This window comes from Homo sapiens, chromosome 1 (assembly GCF_000001405.40).
Source record: "Homo sapiens chromosome 1, GRCh38.p14 Primary Assembly".
Classification (NCBI taxonomy): domain Eukaryota; kingdom Metazoa; phylum Chordata; class Mammalia; order Primates; family Hominidae; genus Homo; species Homo sapiens.
The window spans coordinates 206,222,592-206,247,328 of NC_000001.11; the positions used below are offsets into that span (position 1 = coordinate 206,222,592).

General features: G+C 42.5%; 1 protein-coding gene across 12 annotated transcripts in view, besides 1 other annotated feature; it reads left to right on the top strand.

The window, feature by feature from the left end:
* SRGAP2 (SLIT-ROBO Rho GTPase activating protein 2) overlaps positions 1-24,737 on the top strand; it is a 260,896-nt gene that overhangs the window by 19,051 nt on the left and 217,108 nt on the right. The gene's annotated exons all lie outside the window — the stretch shown is intronic.
* Positions 12,284-13,071: an enhancer, noted in NCBI's record as "OCT4-NANOG-H3K4me1 hESC enhancer chr1:206105690-206106456 (GRCh37/hg19 assembly coordinates)". NCBI's record gives its function as "activates a minimal SCP1, AML or CMV promoter by ChIP-STARR-seq in naive H9 embryonic stem cells {active_cell/tissue: H9 hESC(naive)}" and the evidence as "EXISTENCE:reporter gene assay evidence [ECO:0000049][PMID:30033119]".

Consider the following 24,737-nt stretch of genomic DNA (forward strand, 5'->3'; position numbering starts at 1 on the left):
CTGGAGGCTGAGGCAGGAGAATCTCTTGAGCCCAGGGGTTCAAGATGAGCCTGGGCAACATTTTGGAGATCCTGTCTCCAAAAAAAAAAAGATGGAGGTAGTTTTTTGTAATGGCAAGATTGTACATTAGAAGATAGAAAAGTAGGTTTTGCATCTTACTCGGGAAGATATATGTATATTTCTCTCCCTTTGGACTGATCATTTAAGTTGTCTCAATTTCCTTATCAAGAAACTGGCATAATATATGTTCTGCCTACATCCCAGGGTGGTTGTATAGATAAACTGAGATAATATATGGCCTCCTCCCAAGTAACTGGGATTACAGGTGCGTGCCACCACGCTGGGCCAATTTTTGTATTTTCAGTAGAGACGGGGTTTCACTGTGTTGGCCAGGCTGGTCTTGAACTCCTGACCTCAAGTGATCCTCCCACCTTGGCCTCCCAAAGTGCTGGGATTACAGGCGTGAGCCACCGTGCCCGGCCTCAGAGTAGTTCTTAAATTGCAATCTAGAGACAACTCTTTTAGGCCATCTTGCTTTTTCTAATAATTGATGTGTAGATGTTCCTTTTATATTCTGTTTACTCATTGTTGACGATTATAGGTTGCAATACCTGCTCCCAGATTTAGTTTATCATCTTACTTTTAATTGAATTATTTGATATATAAGAAATTCCAAGTCCAAGCATGGTGGCTAACACCTGCAATCCCAGCACTTTGGGAGGCCATGGTGGGAGGATCACTTGAGTCCAGGAGTTTGAGACCAGCTGAAGCAACATATTAAGACTCTGTCTCTACCAAAAATACAAATAAGTTAGCTGGGCATGGTGATGCACTCCTATAATCCCAGCTACTCAGGAGGCTGAGGTGGGAGGATCACTTGAGCTCTAGAGGCCAAGGCTGCAGTGAGCCGTGATCATGCCTCTGCACCCTAGTCTGGGTGACAGAAGGAGACCCTGTCTCAAAAAAAAAAAAAAAAAGAAAGAAATTCCAAATTTAATATAGTCAAATTTACTTTTTGTTAAAGAAATTAATTTTCTTTACTGTTTTGATTTATTTAAAAGACAAACACACACAATCATAAGGATATTCTTCTATATTTTCACCTACACATTTTGCCTTTCACATAACGTCTTGAATAAACAAGGAGTAAATTTTCGTGAACAGCGTGAGGTAGGGATCTAACTTTATTTTATATTCCATGTGGCTATATTTATTAAAGGGTTCATCTTTTTCCCCATTGATTTGTAATGTCTCATTTGTACATACATTAAGTTTATTATACATATTTGTGGGCAAGATGAGTTCTCCATCATGCTGTAGCGGTGCTGCCGCTGGATGTGCATCAGGGGTTGCTGATGAGGGAGTCAAATATTTTCCCCTTTGAGGTAGCAGCACTAGGCTGTCCCCACAGCTCCAACCAGAATAGCTCTGCTTTTATGTTCACGATATTGGGTGTCCCGCTAAGATTTTATTTGAATAACTTTTTAGATGGAACAATTTTAAAAGTTAAAAACTACCATTTTTAAACAAATTACATTTTGGATCGTTTTTTGAGATAGCAAGGGTTTCGTCTCTCATCTTGGGTTGGATGAAAAGTGTAAGACAACACAGAACTCAGAACCTAGCAGCGAGGGAAGTGCATGTTTTTCAAAGGGAAAGGAATGTGTTATTTTGCAGTTGTCAGTAGTTCCAAATATATCAACTATTCCACAAAATAATGAGTATGTAGTTTCTGTGAGAGACTTAGAACTGTCTAGAGCCTAGTCCTTATTGTCTGTGATCATAGAAACCATGGAGGAAAAAAGCCTACCTATACGAAAGTAGTTAAAAAAAAAATAACCCACAGCAATACAAGAAATGACATCAGCCAGCAGATGACTGAAAATGAGTGGTGTTGATAAGAACTTGAGGAATTTTGAGATGGGAGAGGTGTGGGCCAGAATGAATAAGACCTTGATTTATGGACTAGGATTTGGCTAAGTCGAGAGTAGGAGGAAAGAACAGAGGCAGTGTGTCTTCCCTCAGTGGAGTTCCCACAGCCCCCACCGTGCTTACCGCTCCTGCATCACTTCCTACACCCTAATACAATGATGGTTTTATCCACCCTCACCCCCACCCCCACGCTCCTTCCCCCAGACTACACTCACTACCAGAAAGCTTGTGAGTTCTTTGAGGGTGGGCAGTGGGCAGCCTGTCATTTCAACATTCCCAGCCTCCTGCACCATGTTTGCATGTGGTAGGCACCCAATAAATGTGTGCTGAGTGAGGGAGTAGACTCTTGGGCTGGAGCAGAGGAGTTATAGACAGAGGAGTAAGATCGAACTGGATAGTTTTTGATGACCTTGAAGATCAGCCAGAGTCTGGCTTCATACTGGGGCAACAAAGAACAGTGGGGGCACTCTGAGTTGAAGAGTGATGAAGTGTGATGAAGTCATTTCAGAGGGACTCCCTGGTTGCTCTGAGTTGCCTGGCTGGGGGCAAGAGGCTTGTTCCTGCCCACACAGCATACCAGGCCTTGTGGTGGGTGCTGCAAACATGCTGTTAAATGTGATCAATTACTGGAGTCACCTGTGAGGGAATTGCGAGTCCCCATTTACTGAACAAGAAATTTGAGTCAGGCAGATGATCCGAGGTGATGGTGACCCATGATGGAATGGGGACTGCAGCTCAGGTCTGTCCAACTCTAAAGCCTGCTGGTTCTTTTATCTTGGATATTATGTTTGACCACACTGTAATCAAGAGATACCACTAAGATGGGAAGATGAGCTGCCGAGATGGGTGTGGGGCCTAGGGGTGAAGTAAGACTCAGGAATGCCTGAGGTTTTTAGTTTGGGAGACAGGGAGAACGATGGTGGCAATGGCAGAAATAGACATATGGAAGCCAGGAAGAGGTGCAGCAGTTGGTGAGAGAATGAGCATTATTTTAGATACCCTGAGTTTGAGATGACAGTTCCATTCAAGCAGGAATTTCATTAGGCAAGTGACAGTGCCACCCCCATCCGCCTTTCATTAAATCTGTCATTTTCTTTTCTTCTAAATTGGGAATGTTGCAGAGAAACTGTGAAATAGATGACACCCCTTTTACGTGCCAAATACCTGACCTCCTTTTGCAGCTTCTTACCTTTCACTTTCAGAAATATTCTCCCTTGAAGGGGCTTCGTGTTTGTTTGCAGGAATTAATAGCATTTTCTTTCCCTGTGCCCTGTAGGGAAAGAGCACAGCTAAACAAGGAGAGAGAAAACTGGAGTTCTGAGCTGCCTTGCTCCGAGTTTGGTTGGAGGCCCCTTATGAGGGTCAGCTGGGAATGAAAGAAAAGTCAAGTCAAGCTCTGCCAGCACCCTCCACCACCTGACCTCCCATGGGTGACTGAAGAGCCAGCTAATGAACAAGTTCTTTTAAAGGCAGCCTGGGGAGTGTGGGAGAGGCTGAGTTCAGCAAAACATGACTAGGTGGTGCTGGTGCTGTTTCGGGGTGTGGAGGCAGAAGTGGTTGATCTCCTTAATTTGAATAACTTTGGAATGGGGAGATGGCGCTTTGATAGAGGATTTGATTGGAGATTTTGATTGTAGGATATGTTGAAAGAGGGGATCAGGCTAAAGCCATTTATAGGAAATTATATTTCAGATATTGGCAGTTGAACTTAATGTATTCTATTCTCACTTCCAAAGGCTTTGAATTTTTAGTGTTATTTCTATTTTGAGGAGAGTGGCCTATGAGTACTTCTCATCCAATGTGTTCAATCCAAGGAGACTATAGGAGTTATTACTCTCCTCCTTTTTAAATTCTTTCTGTGTAACAGAGATTACCCACAGTTGGCTTGAGAGTTTTACGCCACAGTTTGGTAGAAAAAAGACCACTCAGCTGGAGGTCAGAGGCTTGGGTACCAGTGGTAGCTCTGACCCTTGCCATCAACTATGTGGCCCTGGGTAAGTCTCTAACCTCTCCTGGCCTCAGCCTCTTCAGATATAGGATGAACATATAATTCCTACATCTAGGAGTTGCTGTGTTGACTAAATGAAGTAATGCTTGTGTATCAGCTTTGCAAATTACATACCCCAAACAAATATATATTAAGATTTTATTTGCTGCAACAGAAGAAAGTGGACCATCTCTTGGTGTTTGTTTTGATGAGACTTGACCTATATAACACTGGCTCAAGTATGTTTGTTAAAGTGAATCACCTGTTGCTTTCTGGGCCATACGTGAAATGACGTGCCATGTTACAGTGAACCCCTTTTGCACCACCCCAAGTTCAGGTTGCCCTTACACAATTTGGGCGAGATAGATGAACACGCACCTTCCTCCTTCTTAGAAACAAAACAGTGACTTGGGTAGGGTAGACATTAGGAAAGTGACTTAGCTGGTAAATATGTGATTAATAATGGAGATTTGGCCTAAGCATGAGTGCGAGCCTCTGAATACGGATGGGTAAATGCTAAATAGCAAGTCTGCCAAGTTGAGCACATTGGGGAACCTCTTGGGCTCTGTTCATGCTTGAAGTATGACTGTGCCAATACTGTACTCGCTATTTAACAAAATGAGGTCATACCAATCACACTATTTTGCACGTATTTGTTTACACATCTCTTGTCTGCTAAGCTATGAGCTCTTTGAGAGCAGGGACTGTTTCTGTTTATCGTTGTTTTCTAGCATCTAGCAGAGTGCTTAGCATATAATAAATGTGTATTGGATGAATGAATGAACGAATGAAATTCTTTGCATTTTTATTCGGTTAGAGAGATTTTTTGAAAGGCATATATGTGGGATTATTTGTGCCATCATCTGCTAATTTCACAGATGTCTTCTCAACTGTAGACCTTCATATAAGGGAAAGACCTATTTACGCATAGTTGAGTTGCAGCTGCTGCTGCCCTGGCCTGATGGCACAGTGGTGAGGGCTGTCTCAATATCTGTCCCATGTCTCTTTCATAGAATAATACCCTCCCTCAGCCCCTTTTCCCTGTATCTTCCTTTCAAGGGTTGCTGTGTAGTTAACTCTGCCTCAGGCAATTTATCTTATCTGTACTTTTCTCTTCCTCATTCCTCTTCTCTTTTCCAGTGCTTGTCCAGTAACCTCAAGGAAATCTGTTCCAACGCTTCTTTGCTGTTGGTGTATTCCTATTCATGAGTTAAATCCCAAACAAAACATACTCTAATCAGGGCAGTCGAACTTGAAAAGAGTCAGTGAGAAATCTGAAAGGAGGAAAAGCCTGGCCACGAGGCTCCAAGTGAAATGAAAGCCATAAACACCAGCTTCGTCAACCTTGAAAGCTTCTAAAAGTGCCCCTAAGCCTCCTTTTGAATCACTAAAAGTTTTCACTTACCTCCCTGTCTTTCTCAAATAAAATTTCCTCTTTCTCAGCCATGAGTCTTAAAAAACAAAGCAAAACAAAACACTTCACACCTGCTTCTTATTCAGTTTTACACTAGTGGAAAGAGAACGGGATTTAGAGTTGGAAGGCCAACGTGAGCGTCCTGCTGCCACTTAGTAGCTGTGTGACTCTGTATAAGCTTCTAGGCTTTCTGTGCCTCAATTTCTTCAACCGTTGACAATATGACCGTGTATCATCACATAATACACTATGATGTGAAGTTTATGTAGATGAAGAACTCTTTCAAGCTCACAAAGCACCAGATACATGTCAGATATTTCTAATGTTACACCAGTTTTTAATATCATGTTTCATTTCACATACGGTACTTGATATCTCAATTACATTAGAGGCTAAGACAGTTTTCTACCAGCATGAGAACTGAAACACGATAGCATGCCTTTTATGGCGAAATGTGTTTGAACTTCAAACAACAAATATATAAAACTTATTATGCAATACACCCTATCAGCAAATTAATTGAAGGCTGCCTCTAGATTGTTAGGTGTGGATGACAGGAACTTTATTTCATACTTCTTTTGTACATGCCATTGCTGTTTAACAGTGTTGGGTTCATAACAGGTGATTAGACAGTCTTGTTGATAGTTTGGAGAACCATCTTAATCATGACCTAGAATCATTCTTATTTCACAGCAACCTGTGTCTTGACTAATGTTAAACTGACTAATTTGTTTTGAAGCTGAGAATGAGAAATTGGAGGTCCTTCTCATAGATCTGAGATTCCTTTTTATTCCTGAGTTGGATAAATTAGGGTAAACAAAATCAAATACTTGTAAAAATACTGTACAAAGGAATGACATATGTATGCTGGTTCCCTAGCAGGGTAATTCCATCAGCGCTTTAAAAAAAAAAAAAAAAAGATTACATTCCTTCTCAACCAGCCAAAGGAGCCATTTTCCAATCTCTTATCTTGTTGGGGTGTGTTAGAAAAATATACCAAGTGCAAGAACCTGTAAGCCTGGGGTTCATTAACCTGCTTAAAACCAGTTTTACTTCAAATAGGTGATCTTTAGTGTCAACCGTTGTACTTTTGTCTGCAGGGAACAACTCAAGTTTCGTCCTGTCCTCAGTAAGCAGATGAGAGGTAGGGTTGACGTTAGAAGCCAAGTTTTTGTGGAGCAATAAGGTAAAATAATGAAGGAAGCCTATAGAATTCCAGGAGAGTTTAAAGAAAACAGTAGAATACTTTCTTAGCAAGGGTATGGGTGGGCTTCTGAGTGGAGGAAGCAGGCTAGACCTTGGGATGTTCCAGTCCAAATTCTGTTTCGGAAGCTCCCTAAATGTATGCAGAGGTTGTGTAATTGTATTCATCACTGTTGAATGTATTATTGGTTTGATTTGGTTTCACTGCTCCTAAGTTCCTTTTGTCTTATCTTGCAAGCATATCACTCTGAGTACTTAAATCATTAACAACTCATTAAAACTCTTGACCATTTTCATTTTCTACCAAGCTGAAGCCTGGGTGTGGTGGAAACTTGTGCAGGCCTGCTTGGCTGTGCCGCAACTGAGCAGCTCCTAGCAGTTTGGCTGTCAAAAGGCCACTGAATAAACAAATTGATAGGAATGGCGGACATAATCTCTGCAGTTCCTTGAAAAGAAGGAAGGGGCTGCAGGATACAGGATAGTGAAGGATCCTTCTCTTCAACCTGAAGGACTCTTCAGCAATTAACACCTTGACTCTCTTTTTATGCAACACTTTTTTTTGTCCTCTCAGAGACTCTATTTGTACTTGGTCTTTTCTTCTTTCAGGATTTCTATAGCTTCTTTTAGAGACTCAAAGTGCTTCCAGTTTTGTTACCTCATTTATTCTCTAGGGGCAGGAATTAAGGTCTTGATGGAGATGAAGTGGTACATCACTTACTGGGCTGTGGAGGCAGTCTACAACAGGCAGTTGCAGCAGTTCTTCTGGTTATACGTTGAGAGAGAGATATATATGTACACATACATACACACACACACACACACACACACACACACACACACCTTACCTTATTTAGGATCTCCCAGAAGATAATTTTAAGTATTTGTAATTTCTATATATTTTAAATAGCTGATTTATGCCTCATAAGTAAAGAAAAAAAGGTTTCTCTGCTTTTGACTTGAATTGTTGAACTATTTGTCCCTTCGTAAACTGATCAATTGCCGTGCAGATTGAGAGAAAGCCATTCAATCAATCAAAATGTTTCTACTGCATTGGCATGCTTTGTAATGGAAATGAAAATGACAGCATGTTTTTGTCAGTTTAAATGAATAGGTTTCCTTTAGATCGATGCTGAAGTTGGTATTATAGGTATCTAGCCTATGAATGCTAATAATTAATTACGGAAATGCCTCATGGAAGCACTTGAACTTACCCCTGCATCTTACAGATATATCTGCCTGTTGGTGAAGTGTATGCCAGCGTTGACATTTCTTGTGAGTACTGGCATGACCCATGACACAGCCTCTGTGGTACCAGAGGGCCCTACACTGTCTTCAGAGACATTCAGTTCAGTGCATTTTAAAAAATTCATTCATTCAATCACTAATTCATTCATGTACTCAACACATGATTATGTATGCCTACTATGTACCAGGCTCTGGTCTGGTGCTAGAGATAGAGTTATTAACAAGACAGAGGAAGTCCCTGCTTTCATGGAGCTGTATTTTTTTTTTTTTTTGAGACGGAGTCTCGCTCTGTCGCCCAGGCTGGAGTGCAGTGGTGCGATCTCGGCTCACTGCAACCTCCACCTCCCGGGTTCAAGCAATTCTCCTGCCTCAGCCTCCCAAGTAGCTGGGACTACAGGCGCCCGCCACCACGCTCGGCTAATTTTTGTATTTTTTAGTAGAGATGGGGTTTCACCATATTGGCCAGGCTGGTCTCAAACACTTGACCTCGTGATCCGCTTACCTCGGCCTCTCAGAGTGCTGGGATTACAGGCGTGAGCCACCATACCCAGCCCAGAATGGTATTCTTAACGTATGGACTTAAAAGGAGCATTTGCAAGGAAGAGTGGCAGTGGCAGTATTGTATGGGGAGCTCTGATTCTCATTTATGCAAGATATGTAATGCCTTTCTAAAGAATAGTGTTGCTACTTACAGCTCGGGCTTGGAGATAAGACCCACTACTCTGCAGGTCCACTTGAACTTCTTTGTAAGCCCACTTGAACTAATCTGGAAGAGTTTCAAGCTTTGGTACCCTATTTGCCAACAGCTGGGTACAAAACCACCTATTGGGTATGATTTTAGGGCTATTGTCAAGGTCCCTGAAGGTGGATAGGCTGAAGACATCTCTTCTACTGGTAGCTTTATCTCTTTAAAACATTCTTTTATTGTATCTCACTCAAAAGACTAGCTGTTTATTTATACTTTAGTATGAGATTCCATTTGTTTCTTTACAAGGTTTTGATAAGGGTCTAAGACTACTAGATGCCAGTTTAGTGAGGGAGGGCACTCTGGGGGAAGTAAGCAGGTATATGGGGCTAAAATCAAAAGGTTGAAGCACCTCCAGTTGGACCTACTTAACAATTTTGCTTAGCCTTGAACTCTTGGCCTCTCTGATAATTAGTTTTCTAATTTTTTTTTTTTTTTTAGACAGAGTCTTGTTCTGTTGCCCAGGCTGGAGTGCAATGGCGTGATCTCAGCTCACTGCAACCTCTGCCTCCCAGGTTCAAATGATTTTTGTGCCTCAGCCACCCCGGTAGCTGGGATTACAAGCGTGTGTCACCATGCTCTTGTAATTTTTGTATTTTTAGTAGAGACAGAGGTTCGCCATGTTGAGCAGGCTGGTCTTGAACTCCAGGCCTCGAGCAATCCACCTGCCTCTGCCTCCCAAAGTGTTGGGAGTACAGATGTAAGTCATCATGCCCGGCCTCGTTTCCTAATTTTAAAAATGAAATTGTTGGAGTAGATCATCACAATCCCTTTTAGTTAAGTCTGCTCACTGGGTAGATTTGTACCTAACTGCCCAACTGCCCAGGCTTTGGTGTTTTTCCCCATTCTGTGCTTTGGTGAGGAGATCCTGCGTTTTCTTTCCGTTTCCTTTGCCAGAAAGAGCTCCCTGTGGCAACATAGAAAATATCAACTCACTGATTTCCCCAGAAAGGGAAGAGTCCACAGCTTCAGAATGGTATCTGCCCTGGTGTCTGCATTCTGGTCAGGCGGCTGCGTTCAGCGTCTGTGCTCCCGGGCTGGGGTGCTTATCTGTAGTAGCCAGACGGCCTGGGCGCTCACAGTAAGTTAGGTTTACATAGTGGAGAGGTGAGCAAGCAGATAGTCTGAAGCAAGTAGACAGAACACTCCAGTCAAGGTTTTCCAGAGGAAAGATTTTGAACCATCGTCAATTAAATAAAACAGAATCTTCTCAAGATCACCAGAAAATACATAGCCAGGGAGATCCCAAGTATTGTGGAACCAAGCTAATTATAGTTACCTCCTATTTGCTTAGCATTTTGTGCTTTTAAAAATGGGTCTTATTTCATATCTCATCTGATCTTAAATATCCTGTGAGCTAAGCAGGTCAGAAATTATCATTATTATTATTTTTTGAGACAGAGTCTCACTCTGTTGCCCAGGCTGGAGTACAGTGGCATGATCTTGGCTTACTGCAACCTCCACCTCCTGGGTTCAAGTGATTCTCCTTCCTCAGCCTCCCAAGTAGCTGGGATTACAGGTGTGTGCCACCATGCCCGGCTAATGTTTGTATTTTTACTAGAGATGGGGTTTTGCCATGTTAGCCAGGCTGGTCTCGAACTGATCTCAGGTAATCCACCAGCCTCGGCCTCCCAAAGTGCTGGGATTACAGGCATAAGCCATCTCACCTGGCCAGCAGGTCAGAAATTAGTAATCCCATTTAAAATATGAGAAAACTGAAGCATTAGGTAGGCTAAGTGACATGGCCAAGGTCACACAGTTAATAGGGCAGGATCAGAATTTAGAATGCATGTTTTTTCTTTTAAAAACAACTTTATTCAGGTATAATTTATGTGCAATAAAATTCACTATTTGAAACCTATAGTTCAATGAGTTTTGACAAATGGTATATACTTGTGTAGCCACAATTATAATCAATAGGTTGAACATTTCTATCACCCCAAAAAGTCCCTTCACGGTCCTTGGCTTTAATCTTCCTCTTTCCTTCCCCAACTCCCCCTGTCTTTTGATGTCTAATGCAATGCTCTTTTCACTGTCCCACACTCGGACTTGACAGCCCTTCAGCCATATCCTTCTGGAGAGAGTCCTGGCTGGCAGCCAGCCTGCCTCATCATGTTGAGTTATGAGAGTGAATGGGAAGTTAGTGGGTTGCTTACTCCATTGTTAGTTCCTTCCTTCCCTTCTTTTACCAGCTCCAGGCTATAGAAAAATTATGTGGGTTCTCCTTCCCAGGAGAGCTTGAAAAACAGGACAGCAGCTCACCTGTCTGCTCTTGCTTCCTGGTAGCCTGCTGCTGGGGAGGGGTGGGAGTGAGCAGGAGGTGGTGGGGTGGTGGACTAGGCGACCTCTAGAGGATGCTCTACTTCTGTATCGTCTGCTCAGTCTCGATCTCCTTAGAAACCAGCTAGCTCTCTGCTGCCTAGTTGCAGTTCCCCAAGGCTTTAAGCAGTCTGAATTCCATATCTGATGAATGAATCCCAAAGGTGTTGAAGATCCCAGTTCTGAAAAATGAGCAAACCCCAAGTTTTATAATAGAAACTTTCATAGCAGATCGGGTCCTAGACAGATCCCTCCCTCTGTAACTGAGTTAGGTTTTGAGGGGAGATATCCCCCATTATACTGTTCCTAAATCCTAGATTTTGACTGTAGTGTTCGGGACATTCCGGAGAGTCACATTGTTTACCCAGGTGCTGGACCAGAGTTGCTCCCCGGCGTTGCTGTGTGGCATCCAGCAAAGGCAGGTTGGGAGCCTGCTCCTTTTCATAGCCAGCTTTGCCTCCATACCAGCAAGATGGAAGATAGGTGCCTTCACTAAGCCCCTCAGGTGGCCACAGGATATGATCCAGAATGGTGGTCTCTACTTTTCTATTTGCTCCTATTTAGCCACCCAGTTTGGGAGTAGCCCTGTGTATTATGATTATCTCTTTCATTCATTTTGGGCTATTTGAGTTTTTAGGGCCCTTTCCTATCCATTATCTCCTGTTCTCAATAAGTCTGATATCTTCTGTTAGAGTAAAAGCTCCATCTCCTCTGATCTAAGACAGCTGCAAGGACAGGACAGACTCAGATTTCTTCTCTGCAAAGGCTCCTGTTAAATCTTGGGCCCTATGGTATTGATTTTCTTCTAGTTATCTCTACAAATTTTTCTGGCTTTGCTGAAGGGGGAAAAAATCACCAGACTGCATGCTTGAGCTTCAGGTTTCTCCTTAGCTGGCAGCCTCAACCAGAAAAAAATTCTATTTGAGAGCACTGAGCCTCAGGCACTGGTTTTGCCCTGTACTCCCCAGTGTCTAACTCTTAACAGCTGGTGGCCATCCCTGGCCTCCATCTTTACTTTGCTGCATACCTCAGCTTGATGAGTCCTTGATGTTGACTCCTTGACCTTACTGCCATCTTCTTTCCCCTACAGGGGCCTCTTGAACTATGGGGAGCTTAGAAAACAGTGGGCTTCCTGTGTTTTGTCTACCAGCAAAGCTGGGTACCTGAATCCCCATGTGACAGTGCTGCATGGCTGACTCCAGTATTCTTCGGGAGACACAGTAGCAGGAACAGAGACTTAGTTGAAAGCCCCAAGTGTGTATATCTGAAGTGTTTGTACAAAGATGGGGGCAGAGAGCTGCTCATGTCTGCAAAGAGGGACAGTCCCACTTTTGCAGAGGTGACAGTCCACAGCAATGCTGTCTCTTCCATTTCTCATTGGGGTTAGGTTTCCAAAGGTCCATGAAGGTTTTATTCGTTTTCGTGCCCCAAGAGAGCTTTCCATAGTAATGAAAGAAATGTTAAGAACTGCAGGAAATGGGTAAGATTATAGATGGCCAAAGAAAGTGGCAAGGAACAAAAAAAGACAATGTATTTTAAAGGAAAACTTTTTGGAGCTATTTCATGGATGCTGCTGGTCACCTGGGGAAATCTTGGATTTATTTGACAGTTCCCATTTTCCACTTAGGCTTCATGTATACATGGGTTTGGGAGCTAGGAAGGGGAATAATACCCTCCCCAAAGAGCTGTGGCTGAGCTCCCAGTCCCCAGGACCAAATTGAGCTGTTGCAGCTGGGAAGCAGATTGGTGCAGCCCTCCCCAAAATGCTCACAGCCCTGTGGTTATTTCCTGTCTTTTTCCCCTTGTATATTCCCCTTTGCAGCTTGTATCTTCCTCTTTGCAGCTTGTATCTTCCCTTTCTACAGGAAATCTCAGCCGCCTAGCCCATGGGCCTGGTTGGGCTGCTGTCTCCTTCCTTTATTCTTCATAGCCCTTAATCACTTCTCATTAGTGGACTCCCTGGGAGGGAGGGAAGAAGGGTTTTGTTCTGATGCCGGCCTCCTGGAAGGGCTGTATCCCACCAAGACAGATGGCTGCCTAGCCTATTTTTAACTGTCTCTGGGGAAGAAGATTCCACAACCTATTTTGAAACCTGTTTCATTGATTGACAGCTTTCCAATTAGGAATTTCTTGCTGATACCTGACTTAAAATTTGACAGCTATAGTTGAAACTCATTTCCTTTTGTTTCTTTGAAATCATAGAGTTTGGGAAAGAGAGGGATTTTAATTAGAAGTCGTCTAGGCCTACCCCTAATGAAGAAAATAAGTTGAAGTTGAAACTGAAAATGCCTCCTCATCCTCTCATTGAGGATCCCATCAGTTTTGGGATCTGCCTTTGAAATCACACATTTGGGTACCATTCTGTAAGAATCAATTTAATTTTCAGGGGAAAAAAAGTGTTCTGGAGCTGGAAGTTTAGAGCGCAAGTAAGTCGTTAATACGACTTACTCTATTTTGTTTGTAGTGAGAAAGTTAAATGGTGCTTATAGAATTACCTTGCCTCTATTGGCAGAGAGTAAAAATAAACTGAGCTCTCAATATACAAAGACTTCCCCAGTTCTTTTCCTTTCGCTCATATCAATGCCTGTCTTTAAAGAAAAAAAGAGGGTTATTTTTCTCTCCTCCATCAGTGGGATTCTCTGTATTTTAAATATCTTTTTTAAGACTAATGTCAGGTGACTCAAATTCCACTGAAGTCTCTCTTTTTAGTTGTCTTTCTGCCGCTGCAGACTTCTCTTGACATGAGACTCTGTGCTGCTTCTCTTGACAGACTGCATCTCGATGGCAGAACACTGGTAAGAAGCTAATGATGTTGGTTCCGTTTCAGTGTGTGGAATCTTGTTATGTGGTATAGAAGTCCAGCATTCTAGGCGAATAAACCGAAATGTATTAGACTGACTATAAAGGGGTCTTGGGAAGGGATCTTACTCCTCTTTGATAGTTGGTACTTGTACCTTTTCTCAACACCTGCGACATTTTCTTTTTCCAGAGATAGCATCGCATGTCAAGGTGGAACATCAGATGCTTGGATCAACCAATGAGTTGTATCCAGACCTGTGACCAAAACTGAGGTGGCATTTGGGATATCATTCACCTTTTGGTCTGTGCTTCAGGCCATGAGTAGTTAGTGTATAGCGCATGTTCACAGGCATTAGCATCTCAGTCTTTTGAAATATGGCTAAAATTTAGTATTCCACCTGCACTTGATCTACTTGAGAAGTATTTAACAGGTCTATTTTATAAAATCCCAAGGCAGCCTTTTCTGCTACCTGCTTGGATTGGGCTGCATGAATATAAACTCATTTTGCTATCAGCCTGAGAAATAGGCAGGTATACTGGAAACACCTTCTTATCTGGGGCAATTGGACTAGTAATTGGTCAGTTAATTCCAAAAGTCAGTTAAAACAGAGAGTCTTTAAAAACGAAGACAAAACTGTTCTCAAGCATTTTATTTATTTTAATTTTTTTTTGAGACAGGGTCTCTCTATTATTGCCCCAGCTGGTCTCTAACTCCTGGGCTCAAGCCATCCTACAGTCTCAGCCTCCTGAGTAGCTGGGATTACAGGCACATGTCATCATCTAGCTAGCATTTTATTTTAACTTAAAAATATGTAAATGCCAGCCTGGCCAACATGGTGAAACCCCACCTCTACTAAAAAAAAAAAAAAATACAAAAATTAGCTAGGTGGGTGGCAGGTGCCCGTAATCCCAGCTACTCGGGAGGCTGAGGCACAAGAATCTCTTGAACCCGGGAGGCAAAGGTTGCAGTGAGCCGAGATCACACCACTGCACTCCAGTCTGGGCGACAGAGCCACTGCACTCCAGTCTGGGCGACAGAGTGAGACCCTGTCTCAGAGGGGGGAAAAAAAAGTGAATGTACACGTATTCACAAATCTTTTTATGTGGGCCAGGGCTTTTTCTTAAAGTGTGGATCTTTCAAGTAGAGTTCAGTTGACTTTCTTTCATAAATTATACACTTAACATTTGATCTGTGATTTCCAGTTTCAGTTTAAGTGAACCAAGTTCTTAAATACATTTGAGAAATGAAGGGCAGAATTCTTCCAGATTTTTAAGCTCCACCACTACAACCTTTTACTGTTGTCTTGCCCATATCTAATTCAGCAGCAATTTTTTTTAGCAACTTGCCTTCAAATTTCTTCCAAGCATTCAACCTCTTTTTCATAGAAATAACTTTTTTTATACTCATATTTCACTTGTTTGTATTATATAATAATTTAATATGTAATTAAAATAACAAGTATACCTAGCGTGAACTAACTACTGACCCTGAAGCAGCCAACCTGGCTGGTGGGAGTAGATGTGAGTAATACACAACCAGCCTCCAGTGTGCTATGCAACTCAGCCAGTTTATTTTGAAGAGAAGTTGGTATGTCACATAAGCTGGCAAGTCAGTTAAGAAAGTATCACCCGTATGTTTCTCTCCTTTTTGCCTCTACTGATTGCTATGGGATTTTTATCTTAGCACCTGTTATCATAATTCCTCTATTAAACTATAAGCTTTTGGATGGCAGGGCCCTTTTCTTACTTATGTGTGTATCTCCAGTGTCTCCTGATATAGTGTCTGGCCTATAGTAGGTGCTCAGAAGTACTAACTAGACATATATATGTCTTAGTTCAGTGCTATATATTTGTTGGTGCCAAACAGCTCTTTATTGAATAGATGGATATATGTATGTATTACTGCACATAATGTACTCAAAATCCAAATGAGAACCTATAGAGTATCTATTTTTTAGGATTTTTGCCATACTGGTTCCTTGTGTTTGCATGAAAAACTGAAAATTGACTGTGGAGCTTTTAGGCTTGGGTTGGAACAATATGTATTTTAGAAAGATTACTCTCTTAATAATAACTACAACTCATTCTTAGAATAATAAAAATCATATCAGTACTAAGTAATATTTATCAACTGCTTACTGTGTGCCAGGCAGTATGCTAAGTGTGTATGTTATCTTAGTTCATATCTACAGCCCTGAAAGAAGACACAACAAGGCATGTTGTGTTATTATTTCCATTTATAGATGAGGTCTCTTTGGGAGCCAGCAAGGAGGTGGTACAAGGTCTAATCTTTGAACAGTTGAGAAATGGGTAGTTTGTTTTCATAGTGCTGCTTCTTATTTTCAAGGTTGAGGGCCCTTCTAGGCGAGGTGAAAGGAACCCTTAAATCTAGAGACTGCCTAGAGGGAGAAACTGACACTTACTTTTGGCTTTCTGGGAACCAGGGTAGGTCCTCTCTTAATTGAAGAGAATTAATAGGATCCTGTGGCTGGGCATTGGGCAGAGTGTTTGAATAGCTGCTGACCTTGGTAGGTAAAGCCAAAGTGGCAGTGAAAACAAGCTACTGTGGGACATTAGACCCTGCCTGTCACTTTTCTTCCCAGGCCACTCACTTGTTGGAGGGCCCTTCTGAAACTCCTCTTGCTCTGTAGTCTGGATGCTTGTGAACAAGCTGCTTGCAGGTGCCGAAACAAACAGCAGTGTGGGTCTCAGGGCCTGGGCTTGGAAGCTGGGCAGAGGGTGGAAGGGCTCCATTTGGGAGCAGTGTTGATGGAAGTAATTTTTCTAGCTGAGGTGTGAGGTTGGTTCTGAGCTGAATTTAAGAGAAGGCTATGGTCTTTTGTCCTTCCACACTTTTGGGACCCAGCAGATACTACAAATGCAATCTTTACAAACCCACTCACTGCCAGAAATGAATCTAAAAAAGTGCTAGTCTGTGGGCCTCTTGGTCAGGAAGGTGACAGCAGTGGCAACAGCAGAAAAACCAATCAAACAAACAAAATGCCTGTGGGCTGGCAAACAGAATTTCTTTGCAAGGTTAATTCTGAATGTCAGACTCTTTCCTTTTTTGTAGGTTGGAAGGAGGCAGCAGCAAAGGGAAAGAGATAGCAGTTGGAGGCCACCTTCTTTAGTCCCCCTTCCCCAAAGAAGAGCCGTAGCTAGTATTGTGGTTGGCATTAAATTGATATAAAGACACCCTGGCCTGGAAGTTAAAAGAAAAGTTTTTTTTCTTTCTTTTTTGAGACAGAGTCTTCCTCTGTCGCCCAGGCTGAAATGCAGTGGCATGATCTTGGCTCACTGCAACCTCCGCCTCCTGGGTTCAAGCAGTTCTTGTGCCTCAGCCTCCCGAGTAGCTGGGACTACAGGCATGCGCCACCATGCCCGGCTGATTTTTATATTTTTAGTAGAGATGGAGTTTCACCATGTTGGCCAGGCTGGTCTTCAACTCCCAACCTTAGGTGATCTGACTGCCTCAGCCTCCCGAAGTGCTGGGAATTACAGGCATAAGCCATTGCTCTCAGCCAAATGAAAAGATTTTTGATGTACTTTTTAGCCAGAGGGAGTTTATGCTGCTGTGTGGCCAGTTTTTCCACATGTCTGCAACAGTTACAATTTTTGACAGATATCTTGAGAAGATTATAGATTTTGATAGAGGCAGTAAATTTATTAGCAAGACTGATTTCATGTTAGAATGAAATCTCTGGGTCTTTTTCGGATTACTTTATGTTCCTTAAAAAGAAAGACATTGGGCCAGGCACGGTGGCTCACGCCTGTAATCCCAGCACTTTGGGAGGCCAAGGCGGGCGGATCACGAGATCAGGAGTTCGAGACCAGCCTGACTAACATGGTGAAACCTTGTCTCTACTAAAAATACAAAAAAATTAGCTGGGCATGGTGTTGGGCGCCTGTAATCCCAGCTACTCAGGAGGCTGAGGCAGGAGAGCTGCTTGAACCCGGGAGGCAGAGGTTGCAATGAGCTGAGATTGCACCATTGCACTCTAGCCTGGGCAACAGAGTGAGACAACGTCTCAAAAAAAAAAAAAAAAAAAAGACATTGACTGGTCTTGGCAGTCTTTGGGTTTTATTCTGAACTGTGTAGAGTTGGCCAACTCAGGAATTCTAGACTAGGGGGAGAATTTTGCAGTGCTTTTGAGCATGTCTGTGTAAATGTGCTGTACTCGTCACTATGGAATGGTTCTCCAGTTTGGCTGTAAACTCATGGAGCTGGCTCCTTGAAATGCTAGCGTCCTAGCCATGCACGCATGCAAGCAAGCAGAATTTGTTCACGCCTAGGCCATATGTGGATGTCACTCTTCTTTAGTTTCATATCCAGTTTCTGCTTGCCTGAGCTAGAAATGAAGTCATCCAGCACTCACAAAACCTCTGGCCTTAGAGGCTTAAAAACAAAAACAAAACAAACATAGCAACTATCCCATACCACCTTAGTGAGGTGGATATTATTGTCCTCTTTTCAGAAGTGAGGAAACTAAGGCTCAGAAATTAAGATACGTGCTCATGGTAACACAGGTCCTAGGAACTGGGATCCAGGATCCCAAAGTCTGCCTCTAAAGCCTATGCTTTTCCCATAGGGCTGCTGAACCTGACCTTTGCACTTTGCCATTTATGTTACTTCTTCCATTCCTTGGAAGTAAATTGAAATGGGTTTGGGTTGGCGCTGTGGCTCACACCTGTAATCCCACCACTTTGGGAGGCTGAGGTGGGTGGATTGCTTGAACCCAGGAGTTCGAGAGCAGCCTGGGCAACATAAGGAGACCCCATCTCTACAGATAATTTAAAAATTAGCTGGACTTGGTGGCACCCACCTGTGGTCCCAGCTACTTGGGAGGCTGAGGCAGGAGGATCACCTAAGCCCGGAAGGTCGAGGCTACGGTGAGCTGTAATCATGCCTCTACACTCTGGCCTGGGTGAAAGAGCAAGACCCTGTCTCAAAAACAAGCTAACAAAAAACCCCCTAAAAAACAAAAGAAATGGGTTTGAGAGAGAAGAAGAGAGAGAAACTTAACTGTGGGTGTTCATAGTTAGGTACTCGTGGAGGACCACCTACCATCAGACGGGAGTGGCTAGCCCTTGTTTTCATTTATGCAGACAGACTTCCTTTTCTACCTCTGCTGGTTATACCAGGTACAAATAGGGATGCTGCAGTAGAGCAGAGGAGCTAAACGTGGCTTCCTCTGACTTACATAATAAAATAAGAATCTCCCCAATGGCCCTTTCCTGTCTGCTGGTCTCTGTGATGAAGTGGGCCACCCTAGGGACAGCTTCACTTAAGGGCCTCCCCAGGGTTATCAGGTCCACAAAGGGTCTTGGGATCAAATGTACAGCTAAATTGATGAGATCAATTCATTAAGATAAAGACTTCTACTTCCGAAGCAGTATGGTGCTTGGGTCAGTGTCTCTTTAGAAATTAATGTATAGATAAAATATTTCATATTAGGGAGAGCTCTGTGCTGCCCTTTCCCAAAGCTTTGGTTATTTGATGGGAGGGAAAGTCTTCTCGAACCTATGTCAGAATATTCCGCTTTGAAAGATGAGGGTTTTTCTTGAGGCTAGTTTTGTACCTGCTGTTTCTTTTAGAAATGATTGCTCTATGGATTTAAAAGGTGACCCAAATTACTTTTTTATTATTATTATTTTTTAATGCTGGGAGGTGTTTGCGTGTGTGTGTGTGTGTGTGTGTGTGTGTGTGTGTGTGTGTGTTTTATCTCCTTCAACTCTGACCACCTGGAAGTCAGCCTAATCTCTGCCCTCGTGTTGATCTTTAATTCAACATTTAATTACCTATCTTGGTATCCATATGAATTTGATTGTTTTTTTGGCTTTTTTTGAACTCATAAAAGGTATCCAAGTTCCTGGAGGGCATAGTGCCCATCTCCTCCCATCCACCAGTAGACATTCTTTTCCAAAAGACACATGGCAAGTACCCCTCACACCTGAGCTGTGGTGGTTTGGGTTTGTCCCCTTTGCTTTTGTTTGCAGAACACCTTTTACTCCTTTTGCACTTGATGGTTCTGTTGTACTTGTAAGGAAAATCAGTTGAAATAAAAAGATATTAAATTGAGAGACAAAAAGATGCTGCCACACTCCCAGTTAGAGGCAGACTTTAGTCTATATTTTCAGATTTATTTTGATTATAAAGTGTAGTCTCCCCCCGCCACCCCCTGTCTGCTTTTCTTTGTAGTTCTGTAATCAGGAGTCTGTTATTCTCTTTCCAATGCTATAATTAATAGTCTGGTCTAAAATATAAAAACCTCAAAGTTATTAATGGAAATGTCACTACTCACCTCATTTTTACAGAGGCCGCTTGGCCTCTAAGTCATTGAGTCTTTGGACAAACATCATTTAGCATTGACTATGTGCAAGAACTGTGCTGTATGCTGGGGATTTAAAGACAAAGAAATACAGTTTCTGCCTCTGAGCGTGCATCATCTCACTGGTGAGGCTCACATACAAACAAACAGGCAGAATTCAGTGTAATTGAGAAATGTTGTAATTGAGTTATATATAGGGTTCTTATTTTGCACGTCTCTGTAGAGTAGTAGTTTCCATACTGTGCGGTATTTGCCTGTTCACTTGCCTGTTCCTTTGTGAGCTCTCGAGGGCCAGGAACAAATATGGATATAAACATGGAACCATGAGCGAATAGATGTTTCTTATCAGTGCTCGGCCTGTCTTACGAGGTGTTCCATAGTGGAACCACCTGGGAAACAATTGATTTTGCATTCTTGTTTGTTAGCTAAATGCCTGATTTGCTTTTTAGGATTCTTTTAGGTTAAATCATATGAAATTACCATTTTGTTGATAATTTCACATGGTTCCATGTAATAAAAAGAGATCAATTTTACAGACTTCTGGTTTTAGGTCATGCACAGAGGTGAAGTTCTGCACAGGTACTGGGCATCCTATATGTATTTCCACTAGGTTACTATTTCCGAGTGTGAGTCTCTATTTGGAACTTCAGAGAGGGAGCCTGTGGCCCAGCTACTCCTGTGTCACTCAGCTCTGGAGTGGAATTCTTCTAGGTAGTGCCTGTTTGTAGACTGGACAGGGAATAAAACCACTACTCTGTACCCGTTTATAAATATTTGCATTTACCTTGGAGAATGTACAAGACCCGGGCTTCATGCGTGTGTGAGAGAAAATAGCAAGTGAAAAGGATGTGTACACAGCAGCATGAATGGGGTGCTATTCTTAGCTGGGTCTCTAACCTAGAGAACAGGAAACAAGATGCTTCTGAATGTGGACTATGGCTGCCCCTATGCTAGAGCCAAGAGGCTTCGAGTCATAGGGAAACTCATGACAGTTGCTAGTGTCCTTCAGACCTTCCTCTTTTGTAGAAAGTTTCATTCTTTGTGTGTCTCAGACTGAGATGGAGGAGGGGTGACTCTCTTTTCTAAGGGATCTAGAGAGAAAGGGCAGATGTAGTCTTGAGCAGTGGGCTTCTCAGCTGTGCTGCTTCTTCCATGGAGACCATCTGGATCTACTCGGTTGATGGAGCAGCTCCTCTCATTCTGAGTGGGTTTAGCATTTGAGAAATAGAGGGGCACCTTGGCTGACTGGACTAAACCTTCTTTGGCAATTTATAATAAATGCTCTCTGATTTATTGTTTATTCTTTCACATTGAGGTTGAACCTGATTTGCCTTTGAAAGTTAAGAGCAGGACTAGGACTAGAACTAGAAATGCCTGATGTATACTGTAGCACACAGTGGAGCGTTGTCCACTTTTTAGTCACTTGGTGACTACCGATTAATTGATTTGAATATATCAATGTCTGGCAGTTGGACCAATTACTCAGCTTCCCAATCTGATGGTGTGGTTGATAGAAATGTTTCCTGGTGGCATTTTCCCACAGGATTAGGATGGTGGTGGCATTAGCCAGGATCTCTTTTGTCACTGCCACTGTTACTGAATGATCTGTATTTTGAACTTTCTTGACTTAGTATAGTATTATACATCCAGCCCTTACCCTAAATGCTTATTATTTAATATTGACAACTTACAGATTAATGTTTTAAATCTTTTTTTTTTTTTTTTAAGGCAGAGTCATGCTCCGTCACCCAGGCTGGAGTGTGATCTCAGCTCACTGCAACCTCTGCCTCCCAGGTTCAAGTGATTCTCCTGCCTCAGCCTCCCGAGTAGCTGGGATTACAGGCGCCCGCCACCACGCCCAGCTAATTTTTGTATTTTTAGTAGAGACGGGGTTTCACCAGGTTGGCCAGGCTGGTCTCAAACTTCTGACCTCAGGTGATCCAACTGCCTCGGCCTCCCAAAGTGCTGGGATTACAGGTGTGAGCCACCACGCCCGGCAAAACAGCATATCTTTAATTAGAACCCAACACGAGATGGTATTTCTTCAAAGAGGGCCTGAAATTGTGGTATTACCTCCAAGCGAACTTTATGAAAGGGATCGGGTCTGTATATAAACCATTTAATTTTTCCATTTCTCTAAATGGGAAAAAAAATTTGTTTTTGTTTCTTTTTTACTCAGAACACCAAGCCCCTTCAGCCACCTCAAAAGAGGTTATAGCCAGGGCGCCCCTCTTAGAAGAAAAGACATTTTTTTTTTTCCTTAAGATTGGTGCATGGAAGCTTAGAGCCTCATTTCACCACCTCTCCTGATTTGATATAGATTTATGAGAAATGAATATAGGGAAAATACTGGCTGTAGACTTGACAACTGTTAACTTGGTGAACAGCATGTTCTTGTTTATGTTAACTGTGTACTTTGACTGTTCAAGATCCCCATTACTTTTCACTTGTCATGCCACATCATTGCTGCAAGTTAGCCTCCTTAGATGAGATACATGGCAGTTAGCTATCTTCACCTGATGGGGAGGAATAGGGTAGAGAAAATAATGTGACCAGCTGTTGTCAGCTTCTCTGTGGAAGTGGTAACCATGTCAGAGCCAGGCCCTGGAGACCTGGCTTGGAAAAGAATGAAGTTTTCCTACTAGGAACTTCTGTAGAGCCCTAGACCTTTCCATCTTAGTGCCGAGTTAAATGAGTCACGTAGCCTTCAGGTAAAGTCATTTCCAAGGGATTGTGAGAATGTGCCCAGGTTGGTTTGGACTGTGTCACACTTACTTGTACTGGCTTATCTTTGCTACTAATTTTTTTGTGTGTGTTATTGTTTTTCTAACTATTGTTGATGATTTGAGTGATGCGAAAGATTTTGATGATGGTAACTTTCTATAAGAGATGTAGAAGCAAGAGGCCCAGAGAATTGATCTTGCCCTTCATCTGACACATTGTGACCAGTTTGTTGAAGATGATAAGGCCTGGAATTGTCACTTCGAATGTCTTCTTAATCTGGGAAATTTGAAGAGGTCTGCAGCAGGGAGGCTGGTCAGGGAAGTAACTTTGCAAAATAAAATCTTCATACTGATGCAATCCCAGAGAACTTGCCTTTGGGTTTGTGATTGCAAAGTGTTGAATCAGTCTTTGGTGTGGATACAGAATATTTGAAGCTAGTTGAAGTGTAGGGGTGTTGGGACAGGAGAAATGATGAGATGAAGTCTTATCAGAGGCTGAAGGTCACCGGATATTTTCCTAGTAAAGGTTCCTTTGATGTGGAATTTATCCGTTTAGCCCACCTAATTGGAGTTATCTGGTTTCTGTCCCTGAAGATTCTGCTGTTGGCCCTGGACTACTTAATTCTGTTTGCTCACCAAATCGGTGACATAAGTTACAAGTTATGAGATTTAATGTTTAGAGTATGGTTTTGGATTATAGGTTCCTTGCATTCTTAAGTTAGCAGAAGGAAACCAAGAGAAGCAGCATGGTACAAACAAAACCCCAAACAAGTGCTAATGTCAGAGAGACCTGGGTTCAAATCCTAGCTATGCCACATATAAGTTTTATCATGAGAGTAAATTGCGTAATCTCCCAGAACCTCAGTGTTCTTGTTGCTAAATGTGCACAAAATAACTGGCTATCTTATAGAGACGTTGTGAAGTTAGAGTGAGTGAAGGTGACATGCCTAGTAAGGACCTGGCACGTAGAAGCACACAATCAGCTTTAACTGTTTCTGTTATTAGCAGTGGACTTAGCACTGTATAAATCTGTCCCTCCATGCTTCCCACTTGCCCATTTGTCAAATGGACTTGACATTCCTTACTCAGTGGTTGACAGGGAGCCAAGTGAGATATCTGAGCTGTTGAGGATGGATGTGTATCTCAAGATCCTGGCATTCAGACTGGGGCTCTACAAGTCGCACTATATTTGCAAGTTGTAGCAGAACTATATTAAAAACATGCCCTGCCTGTTTCCCCTCGTTGGTCCTCCCATTCAGAGAGGGGCTTTCTGGCCTTGTGCTTTAAATAGTCCTCAGACGGTAATGTGGATAGTAGATGAACACAATTCTTGTGAATCCATTTGCCTTGTGCTTGGGAGTTCTATTCTTAGACCACAATCACCGGAATAGAAAGCCTCCGACCCCACATCCGAACTGAAGCCATGTGGGCCTGGCTAATGGATTTCTTTGGGAAGCTGGGACAAAGGACCGGGTCTGCTTCTGTCATTGACTAGGCCAGGTATGGAGCAGTCCATTAGAAACCAGTCTCCTCCCAATTGTCTGGAGTTTATGAGCCTGGCTTACCTGGGATCATTTTCATGTTATGATCCTAATTAAAGTTCAGCCTGTTTACTCTGCTCCAGTCAAGGAGTTACAGGGGGAATCAAGGCAGATAAGATGTTTATGGGTGAACCCTGTTTCATTTTCCTCGGATCCACAATTAAAGAATTAACAGCACTTGTTATTTATTGAGCAGAACCGTGGGAGGGAGGAGGGCTTTATTGCTTGTTTTGCTGCTTCTGTGAGCCCAGGGCTGCGCCAGCAGCATTTCACTTTTAATCCTTAGTATTGTTAGGCCTATACTTCCACCTATAGAGGTGGCAATTGAGGATCTTGACTTGCCCAGGGGTTCATGATCACGAACCTTCTACTACTTCATACCTTGAACACCATCTCTTCTAATAGATGGGCAACAGTATGGTCATTTCTGTGAAGATACTGGTGACTTAAAAGCATTACTAAATGTTTATTAAACACTTGAATATAGTAATTATATATGT